Consider the following 16,613-nt stretch of genomic DNA (forward strand, 5'->3'; position numbering starts at 1 on the left):
ATAAGTTGAAAGTCTGAGGGGGATACTTCTATCATCAAAATAGCAATTTATTATAGGTCTTGTATAGATATACTACAGTCTTCTCTCCCTCTTTGTCTCCTGCTGTCTTTCCTCTCATCTATATCTGTACATTTATCATTCTATCTGCCTACCTACCATCTATCTGTGTATCAATCTATCAATTGATTGCTCAATGCATATATCTAATAGACTTCAGACTGCTATCCTTGCATCAAATGCTGTCACAAATACTTTTGATAACACTTCATCCATATGTTATCATCAAAACAACATGTTTTGACATTCATCCTGTTGTGAAATATAATATACCTATTACTCCGATCTCCATAACATTCTTGCATCACATGGAAAATTCTTCTCTATGTGCCCGTTACCACACAGATGGTCCTAAGAGTAGAAAACAATGTGATCTTCTCAGCTACTTCACCACAGATTTTTAAATACAGGCTTTTCATGCTCTGTTGCATTCACCAGAGTTCTCATCAACTTGCATTATACGTGAGTAACACAAAGACTTAAAGTCATCCTCACTGGTTAAATTTAAAAAAACAAAACAAAACAAAAAAACTAACAGTTTTCCAGAGCATGCAGGATTAATCACACATAATAATTATACAACGTGTTAACACACTTATTATAAAACTATATACACACCATTAAACAAAAAGTGGCAGAAACTTCCAGGAAGGAGGCAAATAAACATTAATTGGTAATGATAAAGGGGAAGAAAAAGATACCCAGAGATAAAAATTCCAGTTTTCACTGGTGAGATATTTTGGTCTAAGGGATTCAAAGCTCTGGTTCTTCTGAGACTATGCTGGCCCCTCTTGTCAATGAATCATCTGCAGGGAAACACTCGGCCCTGAAAATCCACTGCCAGCCTGGCACATACAACAGATTACTAAGCATCTTGTCTTTCATTTTGAATTTTATGCTTTTAAACACTTCTTGATGCCAAAAGGGTCAAGAAGAGGAATTCAAGGAAGAAATTTTTAATACCACAAAATAGATTCTGATGAACAGTCCATTTAAATAACATGCTTCTGTTTCCAAACATCATGTCTGCTGTATTAGAAAGAGATATGGATAAGAGATTTCTATGGTTAAACTGCGTGCTGTGTTATGGGAAGCATTCTTCTTAAATTTGACTTGTCTAGATTAAAGCACTAAAACCAAACCAATGTGGCAAAGAAACATTAGTTTTTCATTAATGCTGTCTCTGTGTAATGACTCTCATGGTCACTTTATAGTTCATATTAACCCTGATGTTCATGAAATGATAGCTTGTGTATTCCCTTCATAGCCCCAGGTTTTCTTTGAGTGCTAATAAATTCATCACTCAGTTCCTCCCATCAAAAAATAAACATACTTATATATCATCAGTGTCCATCTATTTAATCATGGCTTCTTGAATATTCTTCGGATGATGATTGGAAGTTTTCACCGTCTCTGTGGTTCATGGGCATTCTCAGTAGTAAGAGACTTATAGCTGGAAGGTGTAGTGATGTCTTATTAAGTATCTTTACTTGAGAGACAACCTATGTTCAACTGTACACTAAAGAACTTCAGCTCCACCATTGTCTGATTTCTCCACCTAAACTCACAAACACATAGTTTGAAAGCTCCAATATTTCGAGAAATAAATCCAATTACATGCAGTAATCATGTCATCCTACAAAATACTCCATAGCCTTTAAACTTTTGGAAAACAATGGTAAGAGCTCTTATCTGGAAAGTAAGAGCTTTAGGTTATAATCCCAGCTCTACTGCTAACTAGCTATACGGTTTAGGGCATACTGATTATCTCCTCTAAATCTGTCTTTCCTTCTTATCAAATGATGAAGACATGCAGATAATGCATCTTAGTGATTCAAGTGAGATGCATGACGAAAGAGGATGTGGGCATTTTGGTAAACTGCTGGGCACAAGTCCAGCTACAGGGCTTGCAAATTCTTTTCATTTTTCTTACTAGGAGTCTATTTAGCTGAATAACACACATTTGATTTGAATTTACCTTAGAGGGTCTTAGTTTGCAACTTGTGTTTTTAAGAAATTTGTTTAGCCCTTCTCAATGCAATCTCCTTTAATTTTACAAAAAGTGCTCTCCGTTGGTATTCAAACTAATTTAGTACCATGAAACCAAAAGCAGACATGTCTTACACAAAAAATGTAAGAGAGATCAGAAAAGTTATTTGTGTCATTTGCTTATAGCTGTTTAAAACTTAAGTTTTTTCAAACTCAATAGTAAGTAATATCATGAACAGGAACCAACAACATGGAATTTCCCCATTAGCAGCAATATAATAGGCCATTAAAAGCATGCCACCATGTTGGTTGGTGAACTTTCTTATCCTTTGCACTTTTCCTTGCGCTTTTCCTAATTTTACTCTTAGTCTACTTTCTGGCCCTATAGTGGGGATCATTAAATGCATAAGAAGCTCAAATAGCTCTAATTTAGCTTCTTGTCAAATATTTACATGTCATGGGTAAAGTCTTGCAAAGGAGTTGTGATTAGTTGCCAAGGAATATCAAGAATCAGATGTGGTTGTTAGTATTTAAAGATTTTTCTGTTTATTTTTGCAAATACAGAGGATAAACACTGTCAGTTCAAAGTAAACTCCAGAGTATATATAATTTTCAAAGATAATAGTCCTCTAAAATTTTCATTGTTCAAAACACATGGCAGAGTGCTAGATTTTCAACCAGCTTTTAGGAGTTAACAGTGCCATGTGTGAAGAATCAAGCAACTGCCTTACCCTCTGGCCACTTTGAAACTAATTAGAAACTTCCATTACAGAGCTTAAAAGCTAATGGAGAAACACAAGTGAAAAAATAAACCTAAACAAAACAAATGCAATCACAGTTGTAAGGGGGACAAATTCTGAGTTTCATATTTAGAATAATCAGGAAAACACAACTTGAAATTTGAGAGAGGATAACAAAAGCACTGTATGGGGAACACAAGCTACTGTTCTGTAAGATGCTGTTTTGAGTGACATTCAGATTTTGATTGGAAGCAGCCATTTGACTCAGTCACTTGAGAACTATTTACTAACATTGTCCTCACTGCCAAATATTTTTCCCTCATTCTCACTTATGTGATTAGGAAGCTAATTCCATCTAATGATGAGTCCCAGTTGTGCGACAAATACTTCTTGCTCTGTGGGTTTGTTAATAACCCTCCTCTCCCCACCCCATGACAAAAGTCCACGGGTGTGGAATCTCTATCCTTGAAATGTGTTTTTCATTAATAAGAGATAGTGACATTAGTATTTACTCTATGGTTGCTACCTCATTCACTTCTCCCCACTTCATCCTTCAATTCTTTCCCCTACCTCTCTTTTCTCCTCCTCTTCTGTATGATCATTTAGACTCACTTCATTACATACGGAGTTAAACATTTTTAAGGTTTTCACAAAATACACTAATAAGCACTGTCCCTTCTGTTAGTAAACTACAATCTGAGGGGACCAAGAAACAGAAAAGTTATAAAGATATAAACAAATTTATAAGAAATAAGAATAATAAAAACGGAATATTTGCTGGATTTGATGGATATTTAGGAAGCAGTTCTGTGTAATGCAGTAGATAGAATTCTGGACCAAGAGTTAAAAGATCTGGGGTCTGGTCCTTCTCTACAAGTAATTAACTGTAATACTTTGAAAAATTGATTTTTCTTACCCTAAAGGTGAAAACAAGCAAAGAATGAAGAATGTGGTAAGTGTTATAAGAGAAATGCCAACTATTTGCTATAAGAACACATACAAGGTAAGGTTTATTCTTACTGCTGGGATTAAGAGAAATTCATGGACAAAATGTCAATTAAACTGAGCCTTGAAGTTTATGATGAATTTTACTAACCAGAAAAGAGAGAGAAGAAAAGAGAGACATTTCAAACTGAGTTCACAATATCAGCAAGAAAAATATAGGCTATTATGAAATAATTCAGAAAGATGTTGTTCAAAAAAGGCATAGAACTTGCTTCTCAAAATTTGTGGTATTTACTACGGATAATTTCCAGTGGCCTATCAAGTGATGCTAAACTTTATTGGAAATTTTTAAAAATCAGTGACTTGAATGTAACATCACAAATATGGAATTAAGTATGTTTTCTGCAGAAATTTCAGTAGTTTTTAATGATATCTATATTCTTCCAGGTTGTAGTGTTGAGCCACAATTGTGCTTCCAACCAACATTTAGTGAATAGTGTTCATCTTCTTTTAACTGAATTTTTTTCAGGTCATCTTTATATTATTGTTATATTTGTTAACTTTTGCTTTTTGTTATTATTGTGCTACTTTACATCACCAGTTAAGCAAAATGGATAAGTGATTCAATATGGTTAATTGAGACCTAGCAGTGGGGAGGAAATAGTAAATAGAAGTAAGCAGATTATGCATAGGACACTAGGGTTAACAAACAATAGAAATCTGTATGATGCTAGGACAACTAATTCTTGCAAGCGTGATGAATTTCCCAAGAACCTGGAATGGAAAACTGAAGATGGGAAGTATGGTAATGTCTACTGAAAAAAATCAGATTTTACTGCACCACCAGTCCACTAACCTCTAATACTCAGGGTTTTGTCTTTTATGAAACTTTGTCTGCTTTCCTATAAGGAATATGGGCAGAAAGCATTCCTTGCTTTTACGTTTTGTTTTTGTGTTTTACAGAGCATAGTGACCTCTCATAAACTAGCAACAAAGTTAAAGTTAAATGTATTTACTTTATTTTATTTAAGATTCAGGGGTACATGTGCAGATGTATTCTATGGGTATATTGCATGATGCTGAGATTTGGGGTACAGGTGGTCCCGTCACACAGGTAGTGAGCATAGTATGGAATAAGTAGTTTTTAGCTAATTCCTCCCTCCTCTCCTCCCCCATCTAGTAGTCCACAGTGTTCATTGCTTCCATCTTTATGTTTATTCATATTTAATGTTTAGCTCCCACTTGTAAGTGAGAACATGTGGTATTTGTTTCTGTGCTAATTTGCTTAGGATAATGGCCTCCAGCTGTGTCCGTTTTGCTGCAAAGGACAGGGTTTTATTACTTTTATGGTTGTGTAGTATTCCATGATGTATATATACCACATTTCCTTATCCAATCGACCACTGTTGGGCACCTAGGTTGATTCTATGTCTTTACTATTATGAACAACCCTGCAATGAACAGATGAGTGCACGTGTCTTCTTTGGTAGAGTGATTTATTTTCCTTTGGATATGTATCCAGTAATGAGATTGCTGTGTCAAATGGAAGTTTGTTTCAAGTTCTTTGAGAAATCTTCAAACTGCTTTCTACAGTGACTCAAGTAATTTGCATTCTGACCAACAGTGTTTAAGCACTCCCTTTCCTCTGTATATCCTCGATAGCATCTGTTGTTCTTTGTCTTTTTAATAATCACCATCTGTCTGGTATAAGATGGCATTTCATTGTGGTTTTGATTTGCATTTCTCTGATGATTAGTGATGTTGAGCAGTTTTTTCATATATTTTTTGGCCATTGGTACATCTTCTTTTGAGAAGTGTTTGTTCATGACATTTGCCCGTTTTTTAATTGGATTGTTTCTTACTTGTTGATTGCTTTAAGTTCCTTGTAGATTTTGGATATTAGAACTTTATCAGATGCATAATTTGTAAATATTTTCTCCAATTCTTTGGGCAACGTGTGTACTCCATTTATGATTTCTTTTTTGCGCAAAAGCTCTTTAGCTGATTAAGTCCCTGTATTAGTCCCTTCTCACACTGCTATAAACAATGGCCCAAGACTGGTTAATTCATAGAGGAAAGAGGTTTAATTGACTTACGGTTAAAAGGCCTCAGGAAGCTTACAATCATGTCAGAAGGTGAAGGGAAAGCAAGGCACTTTTTTCACAAGATGGCAGGAAGGAGAGTGAATGCAGGAGGAACTACCAAACACTTATAAAACCATCAGATCCCATGAGAACTCACTCACCATCATGAGAACAGCATGGGGGAAACTGCCCCCATGATCCAATTACCTCCAGCTGGTCTCTCCCTTGACACGTGGAAATTATGGAGATTGTGGGAATTATAATTCAAGATGAGATGTGGGTGGGGACACAAAGCCTAACCGTATCAGTCACCTTGTCAATTTTTGTTTTTGTTGCAATTGGTTTTGGGGATTAGCCATAAATTCTTTGTCAAAGCTGTTGTTGAGAAGGGTATTTCTTAGGTTTTCTTCTAGGATTTTTAGAGTTTTAGGTCTTACATTTAAATCTTTAATCCATGTTGAGTTAATTTTTGTATATGGTGAAATGTAGGGGTCTAGTTTTATGTAAGTGTGTTGACCTTTTGTTCCAGCTGCTTTCAAATTATTTCTTTTGTGTTGACCTTGGTAAATATGATGACGATGTGCCTTAGGAATTTTGTCTCATGCAGGCTCTTGCAGGTGTTCTCTATATTTCTTGAATTTGCATGTCTACATCTCTAGTGAAATTGGAAAATTTTTCATGGACTAGATCCTCAAACATGTTTTCCAAGGTGCTTACTTTCTTTCCTTCTCTTTCGGGAATGCCAATGAGTGACAGATTTTTGTCTCTTTACAAACTTCCATGTTTCTTAGAAGTTTTATTTATGTTTTAAATTCTTTTTATTTTTGTCTAAGTTGATTTAAAGAACTGGTTTTGTGCTGCGATTCTTTCCTCAGCTTGATCTAGTCGGCTGTTAATGCTTCTGCCTGTATTTTTAAATTCTTATAGTTAACTCTTCAATTTCAAAAATTCAGTTTGGTTCTTTTTTAAAGTGACCGTTTCATCTTTCAGCTCTTGGATCCTTTTACTGTATTTCTTGGATCCCTCGGATTGGATTTCAACTTTCTCCTGGATCTTGATGAGCTTTCTTGCCATCCAGATTCTGAATTCTATGTCTGTCATTTCAATCTGGTTAAGAACAATTCCTGGGGGCCTAGATTGTTTACTTGGAAGTCAGGAGACACTCCAGCTTTTTGAATTGCCAGAATTCTTGTGCTGATTCTTTCTCATCTGATAGAACTGTTGTTCCTTTAACTGTAATGTAAGATGAGTATAGTGTGTTGGCTCTATTTCTGGGTGCTTTCAGAGGGTCAATGCTCTGTACAGGATTTGTATTTCTGGCTGAGTTTTTGCCTTAGGTTTCACAGGCACTGTATACTGGCAAAATATTTTTGGTATTGTAATTTGGGTTCTGATCCAGGAAATGGCACTTAAGTGTGATGGCCTGTAGATAGGCTCTTAGCCATGCCGCGCTTTCATGTTTCAGCATGTTCACAGTAATGCTCTGGAGTCAGTGGGGGTGGGACACTGGGGAGGGAGGTAAATAAACCTCTCCCTAAGACCACCCCTGGACCTTGGAGGCACTCTATCTGATCCCTGATCCCACACCAGCGTTCCATATGTTAAGTATTCCACACCATGCGTGAGGCTCCCTTAGGCAGAGGTTATGCAGGCTACACCCTTCCCAGACTAGCCCTACAGAGGGAGGCACAATGCTCTCCCCCACCAGCTCACAAACCTGGGTATCTCACCCCTCTCAGTGTTCTGAGAATGGGGGAATCCTCCCTTGCTTGTGAGCCACTCAATCTAACAAGTCTTTACTGACTAGAAGCAGCAGGCACAGGGCTTGTACAGTATAACATCCAGGTGTTTCCTAGGGGAAAACAGAACTGTGCACACCAGCAGGGTTCAGGAAAAGGTGGGGCCACTCTGCTGGAAGCAGGAGTCCAGGCCTGTCTGGAGAGAAGAACTGGGAACAGTCTGCTTTCTCCTGGCACCGTGACTGTGGACTCTATTGGTGTAATGGAAGCTAGTGCTGGGCTCCTCAGGGATCCAAAGCCTGTAGGGCTTCCCATAGTCTTGAGTGGTTCCTCTGAAGAAATTCCATTAATACAGGCTCTCTGTATTAGTTGAGGCCTGTGGTTGGAAGTTTCAGGGGGTTCTCTCATTCCCAGAGTTGCACAGGTCCCTGTAGGAAGGGTAGATCCCCTGGGGGCTCTTAATCTCTCACTCTTACCCTGTGTTAGGAAGCTTCTCCTGGTTTCACAGTGATCCCAGGTGGGTGCCTTCCCAGCTTTGTTATTCTCCGTTTTCCATGTGTCCCCTAACGCCTCTGATGGATCCCAACTAGTTTCTTACATGATTCCCTTGAAGAGTCAATATTTACCCACCACTTTGTTTCCTCTCCACAAGAGTGGTGCACAGTAGATGCTTCTAGTCAGCATTTACAACTCTCACAAAGTTATTTTTGGAAAGAAAACAGAATGAGACATTGGCAAAATTTTCTTTCACATTACCCTTTGGTAAATAATGTATCATTTCAACAAAATTCAGTACAAAGGTGCTATTACTATCATAGGTGTGTTCTCTCAGAAACTTTGCAGTTGGAGGAAAATACTGAGATTCAGGGTATGATGTGCAGTTTACATGGAAGCTTAAAGAAGAAGAGTATTGTCTGTTCATCCCTAAATATCATGCTACAGGAAAAGAGATATTTTATAATTTAGAATAAGGCAATATTCCTAGCTAGTACATGGATTTTGAAAAAGTACATCAGGGTTAGTTTCTATGGACCATTAACATGTATGAAAAGAAAGGGCCAGTTAAGTCAATTAAATAATTGATAACTGAAAAAAAAACTCCTACTCCACTTTATTTGCAGAAATCAACTAGCATTCAACAATATACCTAACCTTCTTAATTTCATGTTGAATTGAATTTAGAAAACTGAGACCATGTATTACTCTTTTATTATGCACCATTGCACAATTATGTAAAATTACATGTACTTCTTTGGGCAAGGAGTATATTTATTTTTCATCCTGAAATGTGCTAGCTTTAAGGGGAAAAATGTCCATCAGGGATGAGATAAATTTATATCCTTTTAAGGAACTGAAAAGGATAGAAAAAAATACCTCTCTATGATTTCAACAAGAATGTTCAAATAAACAAAATGAATGTCTTGAATAGCATGAAACTATTACTTCCTGTACATAGTATGGATGTTTTTGAATTTGAGCATGAGCTATCAGTATTCCTAAGGACACTACGGTACAAATGATAATCTTTTTTTAAAAAATTGCCATCATCATCTAATGCTATTTCTCACAGATAGGAAAAATGCATAGGAAGAGATGCCCTCGAGTACTAAATGGAGATAACTAGTACATTGAGTTCATTCTTTGCTGTTTTCTTCTAGTTTTTATTTATTTATTTATTTATTATTTATTTAGTTATTTATTTTTTATTTTTATTTTTATTTTTATTTTTATTTTTATTTCTTTGAGACAGAGTTTAGCTCTGTCGCTCGGGCTGGAGTGCAGTGGAGCAATCTTGGCTCACTGCAACCTCTGCTTTCTGGTTTCAAGCGGTTCTGCTGCCTCAGCCTCCTGAGTGGCTGGGACTACAGGCCTGTGCCACCACGCCTGGCTAATTTTTTGTATTTTTAGTAGAGATGGGATTTCACCATGTTCACCAGGATGGTCTCAATCTCTTGACCTCATGATCTATCTGCCTCGGTCTCCCAAAGTGCTGGGATTACTGTTATGAGCCACTGCACCTGGACTTTCTTCTAGCTTTGAGCGCTCACAAAAGTTGTCCATACAATAAAAGCATGGTACTGCCCATTTCAACTAAACAAAAAATCGGCTAAAAGGATACAATTTCTCTCAACACAGGCACTTTCACATCAATTACATGTTAACTGCAATTTTTGTCATTGTGTTTTTCCATCACAAACCTTGAAAATATAATTGATATACTGTTGAGCTAGTATTTATTACTGCAAGGAAAGCAGTCTTTGGAGTGAAGCGCATGCTTCATTCAAATGTTCAGAGCAATTTGATGGAGCCACCATACAATTGCTGTGTATTCTACTTGTCTCTTACTATTTTTTCCATTCTCACTTAGATCCAGCCCCACTGGCCTCATTAATGTTTTTTTTGGAATTACCAGGTACTAACCCTTTACCCTAGCCATGCCCTTTCCCTGGAAAACTCTTACTCTAGATATTCACTTGCCTAAATCCCTTGCCTCTTTCAAGGCTTTGTTATGTCTCAGTTTCTCAGTGACAACTACCTTGAACACTCCCATCACTGCAAACTTCAAGAGATCCTTCCTTCCTTCCTTCCTTTCTTTCTTTCTCTCTTTCATTCATTCTTTCTTTCTTTTCTTTCTTTCTTGTTCTATTACTTTATAGCACTTTTTTGCTATGAAATAAAACTGTAAATAAGGCCCCAAGCTCTCTGTACAACATGGACTCCTCATGGCAGAGATACCCAAATTTAGACAGCAGAACTAAGTGGTCATGGCAGGGTAAGGGTAGAGTAATCACACATTATTTGCTCTTGGAAAGGAAGCTCTTGACAAACATACTACTTTATGCCTTTGAGCCAGAACAGTTCCTGTGACTGGATCCAAGGAAAACTGCAGCCAGAAAGCACCCCAACCAGTCATTTGAATAAAGCATCTGTCACAGACTTCTGGTTTAGGGTTTGGGAAGCCACCCAATCAGAGCTTGACTATCTTGACCAAACAGAGCTAAACAAAATTGAATCCTTCCTTTGCATAAATGGACCTGATTGAAAACTTGATGTAGGAGCTTTTTCTACTTAAGCCAAGCTTCTCCTTTGTTCTTTGGAAAGCCCACTTTCACTTATACTCAATGCGGATCTCCCTAATCTGCACATTGTTCTTATAGAAATAAAAGCTCTCTCTTTTTCCTCTGCAGATCTCATGGTCTTTTGTTAACATCATTTTCTAATCTACTAAATAATCAACTTATTTGTTATATACAAACTTCTAAGTTGATTATTTGTTGATTATTATTATTTGTTTGATTATTTGTTGCCTGTCTTCCCATTTTAACATGCAAGTTCCTCTAGAGTTGGGAATTTTGTCTAATGCATTCTATGTATCTGATATATTCAATTATCTCATGTGTTTCTCAGCAAATAAAATATTTGCAATAAATATTTTTTCTTACTGAATTGATTAGCTACCAGAGTTATGATTATGAGTCCAAGTTGTCTTATTGAATAAAAATACTAAGTGGAAAAAAAATGAATGTGGACTCTGACACATGACCCAAGATATTAAAAGGTCAGATGTAGATACGTTTTTGAAGGACTGAAAACTAAATAATTCCATTTCTGATATTTAATAATTAATACTGTTTATAATGACTATGCTATAACACAATGATTTATTTTGATAAGTTTATATTATGATAAACTTTTTTTACAATTTGAAAACAATTGACAGGTTTTTTGCTGAACATCCATCTAATGGTTTGAATATACTGAATTTTTGAAAAATGTTAGCATATTGTATGAGAAAAATTCCAGAGAATTTAACCTAGATTGTTGACAGCAGTGATTTCAAATAGTGAGAATTAATGAAGGCTGGCATCAGGGGTAACACCAAGGTGATAGCCTATAGGAGGGAGTTATACATATTTCCCAAATATGTAGTCTAACTTGGGATTGATATGTCCTTTTATGTGATTTTGAACAAACATATGAGCCCTTACACTTCTTTTTTTTAATCATATGTACATCCCATTGTTATCCAGAGATAACATGAGTGAACATTAAAAGATAAAATGGAAAATATTAGCACTAAAAGGTTATATATATTAATAGATAAAAAAGAGATGCTGATACCAATATAAATGCACATAGAGATGAAAATCATTTCATTTTTATTGAACTCAGATTCTGGCTGTATTTGGGAGGAACAAACTAACCAGATGTCTAGTATTAAAATATTCAGTAAACCTAATTTTTAGTCTATTTATACTTATACGTTAGCAGATTCAGTCACTAGAGAACTACTACCTTGTAAAAAATAAACACCACCATTGTAAGGCACTGGACAGATAATGAGAGTGAAGGTAACATGGTGAATGCTACAAGTAGGATGCAGAAGAAGGAACTTGGAAATAAAGAAAAGGAACCATTGAGTGTGCCCTGATGTATAGATGTTAGTAGGCCTGGGAAAATATAGGACAACCTAAACTCCTGTTCCAACAAAATCTATCCTTGGATTAGGGCTTTGTTTGGAGGCCTTAAACCATGGTACATTATCCAGGGTTTAAGGGCCCCAAACAAAACCCTCAATTGGGGTGGAAAGCGGTGGAATGATGCCTGTTCTGAGACTTATGGCACTGTGACAAGCCAAAGAAACCAGCTTTATTTTCATTCCTTCACTTGCAGATCTTCTCTATTTCTTTCTTCATTTTGCTTTTTTTTTTTTTTTTTTAAAGAGTATCGCTATGTTGCTCAGGCTGGTGTTAAACTCCTGGCCTCAGGCAATTCTCCTGCTTTGACAATTCAAAGTGCTGGAATTACAAGCATGTGCCACCATGCCTAGCCTTGATTTGAATTTATTATTCTACTACTCTCTTTTCTTGGTCCTTTAAAGAGGAGTGAAAAATAACAACCCTGCTAACACAAAGTAAACAAGCTGGTCATAAAGAAACAGGATCAGTCTTGTTGGCATGCATAGGGACTTGCTGTAGAGCAGGGCTGCTGTTGTGGTAACTCTGATGTCTACAGTAGTTTAAGTAAAATAGTTTGCATGACAATTGCCTGAGACCACAGACCTTAATACCTGAAAGAATAATAAATTATAAAAAAGCAATAAAGAAACAATTATACATCTTGCTGTGTGCTTGAGACTCTCTTCTCTTTCAAAGGCAATCTTGTTTTATCCTTTCAGTAAACATGTGTGGGACATTGGATTAAAACCAATTACAGGGCCAGGCGCGGTGGCTCACGCCTGTAATCCCAGCACTTTGGGAGGCTGAGGCAGGTGGATCACGAGGTCAGGAGATCGAGACCATCCTGGCTAACACGGTGAAACCCCGTCTCTACTAAAAATACAAAAAAAATTAGCCAGGCACGGTGGCGGAGGCCTGTAGTCCCAGCTACTTGGGAGGCTGAGGCAGGAGAATGGCAAGAACCCAGGAGGTGGAGCTTGCAGTGAGCCGAGATCGGGCCACTGCATTCCAGCCTGGGCAACAGAGCAAGACTCCATCTCAAAAAATAATAATAATAAATAAATAAATAAAATTACAGATGAGGCAAATGAGCCTCAGAGAGGTCAATCACTTTTCTAAAGTGTATGAAAGTTTTGTAAAGTATGCTATAATGTTTATTCATTCTAATTTTTTTTCCTGAACCTCTATGTTAAAGGACATGCTGCCTATTTTAAGATTTTAATGAACTTAGTTGCTTAGTTCTAGGAATTTCACACAAATTCACAAAAAGGCAATCTTCTTTGCACTCTTCAGGATTTTGGTTTATGTTTCACTTTCTCAGGCAGGCCTGGTTATCAAGACTGGGTTAGCTTACTTGTTTTACTTTCTCATAGTACCTGTACCTTTCACTTTTTAGGATAATTACTTTATTAATTAAACAATTCAGATCAATGAGGTCAGACACTTTGCCTATTTAACTACTTTATTCTCACAATTTGCTAGATGATCACTCAAACTTGGAAGGAAAACAGTATATTAGTTCATTTTCATGCTGGTGATAAAGCACACCCAAGACTGGGTAATTTATGATGAAAAAGAGGCTTAATAGACTCACAGCTCCATGTGGCTGGGGCAGCCCCACTATCATGGCAGAAGGTGAAAGGCATGTCTTACACGGCAGCAGACAAAAGAGAATGAGAGCCAAGCAAAAGAGGTTTCCCCTTATAAAACCACCAGATCTTGTGAGACTTATTCACTACTACAAGAATAGTACGGGAGAAACCACCCCTATAATTCAATTATTACCCACCAGATACCTCCCCCACAACACATGGGAATTATGGAAGCTATAATTCAAGAAGACATTTGGTTGGGGCCCAGCCAAACCATATTATTCCACCCCTAGCCCCTCCCAAATCTCATGTCCTCACATTTCAAAACCAATCATGCCTTCCCAACAGTCCCCCAAGTCTTAACTCATTTCAGCATTAACTCAAAAGTCCACAGTCTAAAGTCTCACCTAAGACCAGGCAAGTCCCTTCTGCCTATGAGCCTCTAAAATAAAAAACAAGTTAGTTACTTCCTAGATGCAATGGTGGTACAAATGTTAGATGAATACACCCACTCCAAATGGGAGAAATTGGCCAAAATGAAGGGGCTAAAGGCCTCTTGGAAGTCCAAAATACAGGGGGCAGTCAAATCTTAACATTCCAAAATGATGTCCTTTGACTCCCAGTCTCACACTCAGGTCACACTGATGCAAAAGGTAGATCCCCATGGTCTTGGGCAGCTTTGCTCTTGTGGCTTTGTAGGGTACGGCCACCCTCCTGGCTGCTTAAAAGCTATAAATGGGCTGGCGTTGAGTGTCTGTGGCTTTTCTGGGAGCACAGTGCCAGTTGTCAGTGGATCTACCATTCTGGGGTCTGAAGGATGGTGACCTTTTTCTCACAGCTACCCTAGGCAGTGCCACAGTGAGGACTCTGTGCAGGGTCTTCAGTCCCCCATTTCCCTTCCGCACTGCCTCAGCAGAGGTTCTCCATGAGGCCCCACACTTGCAGCAAACTTCTGCCTAGACATCCAGGCGTTTTCATACATCCTCTAATATCTAGGTGGAGGTTCCCAAACCTCAATTCTTGACTTCTGTGCACCTGCAGTCTCAATATTATATGGAAGCTGCCAAGGCTTGGGGCTTGCTTACACCCTCAGAAGCCACAGTCCAAGATGTACCTTGGCCCCTTTTAGCCATGGCTAGAGAGCTGGGAAGCAGGGCACTAAGTTTTTAGGCTGCATATAACAGGGGGGCCCCCATGAAACCATTTTTTCCTTCTAGGCCTGTAGCCCTGAGGGGCTGCTGCAAAGGTCTCTGACATGCCCTGGAGACATTTTCCCCATTGTCTTGGTGATTAATATTTGACTCTTCATTAATTATGCAAATTTCTGCAGCCAGCTTGAATTTTTCCTCAAAAAATGGGTTTTTCTTTTCTATTGCATTGTCAGACTGCAAATTTTCTGAACTTTTATGCTCTGTTTCCCTTTTAAAACTGAATACTTTTAACAGCACCCAAATCACCTGTTGAATCCTTTGCTGCTTAGAAATTTCTTCCACCAGATACTATAAATCATCTCCCCCAAGTTCAAAGTTCCACAAATCTCTAGGGCTGGAGCAAAATGCCACATCTCTTTGCTGAAATGTAACAAGAGGCACCTTTACTCCATTTCACAACAAGTTCCTCATCTCCATCTGAGACCACCTCAGCCTGGATTTTATTGTCCATATTGCTATCAGCAATTTGGTCAAAGCCATTCAACAAGTCTCTAGAAAGTTCCAAACTTTCCCACATTTTCCTGTCTTATTCTGAGCCCTCCAAACTGTTCCAACCTCTACCTGTTACCTAGTTCCAAAGTTGCTTCCACATTTTTGGACATCTTTCCAGCAACACCTCACTCTACTGACACCAGTTTACTATATTAGTCTGTTTTCATGCTGCTGATAAAGACAAACTCAAGACGGTAATTTATTTATAAAAAAAAAAAAAGGTTTAATTCCACAGTTCCACGTGGCTGGTGAGGCCTCCGCATCATGGTGGAAGGTGAAAGGGATGTCTTATACGGTGGCAGACAAGAGATAATGAGAGCCAAGTTAAAAAGTTTTCCCCTTATAAAACCATTTGATCTTGTGAGATTTATTCACTACCACAAGAACAGTATGGGGGAAACTGCCCCCATGATTCAATTATCACTCACGAGGTCCCTCCCACAACATATGGGAATTATGGGAGCTACAATTCAAGATGAGATTTGGGTGGGGACACAGCAAAACCTTATCAGGAAGGAAAGAAGGAAGGGAGGGAGGGAGGGAGGGAGGGAGGCAGGGAGACGGGTAAGGAAGAAGAAGCCTCTGCTGGGAACATCAAGACCATATTCCAGTCTAATCAACCAAGACAACCAGATTTACTGGGGAACTGACAGGCTGTCTTGCTGTCATCAGCAAATTTGTCTGCTGGGCATTAGCTTCTCTCCTAGGGAAACTCCATGTCCCTTTTGAGTTCAAGATCCGCATAATAGATCCTTACATTCTAAAGAGACAAGATTTACACACATAGCACCGAATGTAATTTACACAAATACTGTGTTGATTTCTTTCTAGTTTCCTGTAAATCCCAGTTTTTTTTCTAAGTGGAATGTCATAGAAAGAAAAGAAGAGAGAACACATTAAAAATTGAATTCTCTGTGTGTGTGTGTGTGTGTGTGTGTGTGTGTGTGTGTGTGCATGCATATGCACAGGTGTTTTTACTTTTTATTTCCACGATGTTGTGTAAAACAATAGTTAAAAGATGCAGATTCTGAAGCCAGACTGCTTGGGTTCAAATTACAACACAATTATTTCTGAACTTTATTACCTTGGGTGGGAAAATCACTTAAACTTTTTTTTGTCTCAGTTTTCTTTTATTTTATCAGTTAAGCTAGGATAATAATATTACTCACCTCCAAAGATCATAAGAATTAATTTCTGTTAAGTCTAAAGACCACTTATTGAGAATGCTGTAAATTCTCAATAAGTCATGACTATTACAGTGGTTATTTCAAAGAAAAAATAGAAATAGAATGTATGATGATTTG

The sequence above is a fragment of the Homo sapiens genome, chromosome 2 (assembly GCF_000001405.40).
Source record: "Homo sapiens chromosome 2, GRCh38.p14 Primary Assembly".
NCBI classification, from domain to species: domain Eukaryota; kingdom Metazoa; phylum Chordata; class Mammalia; order Primates; family Hominidae; genus Homo; species Homo sapiens.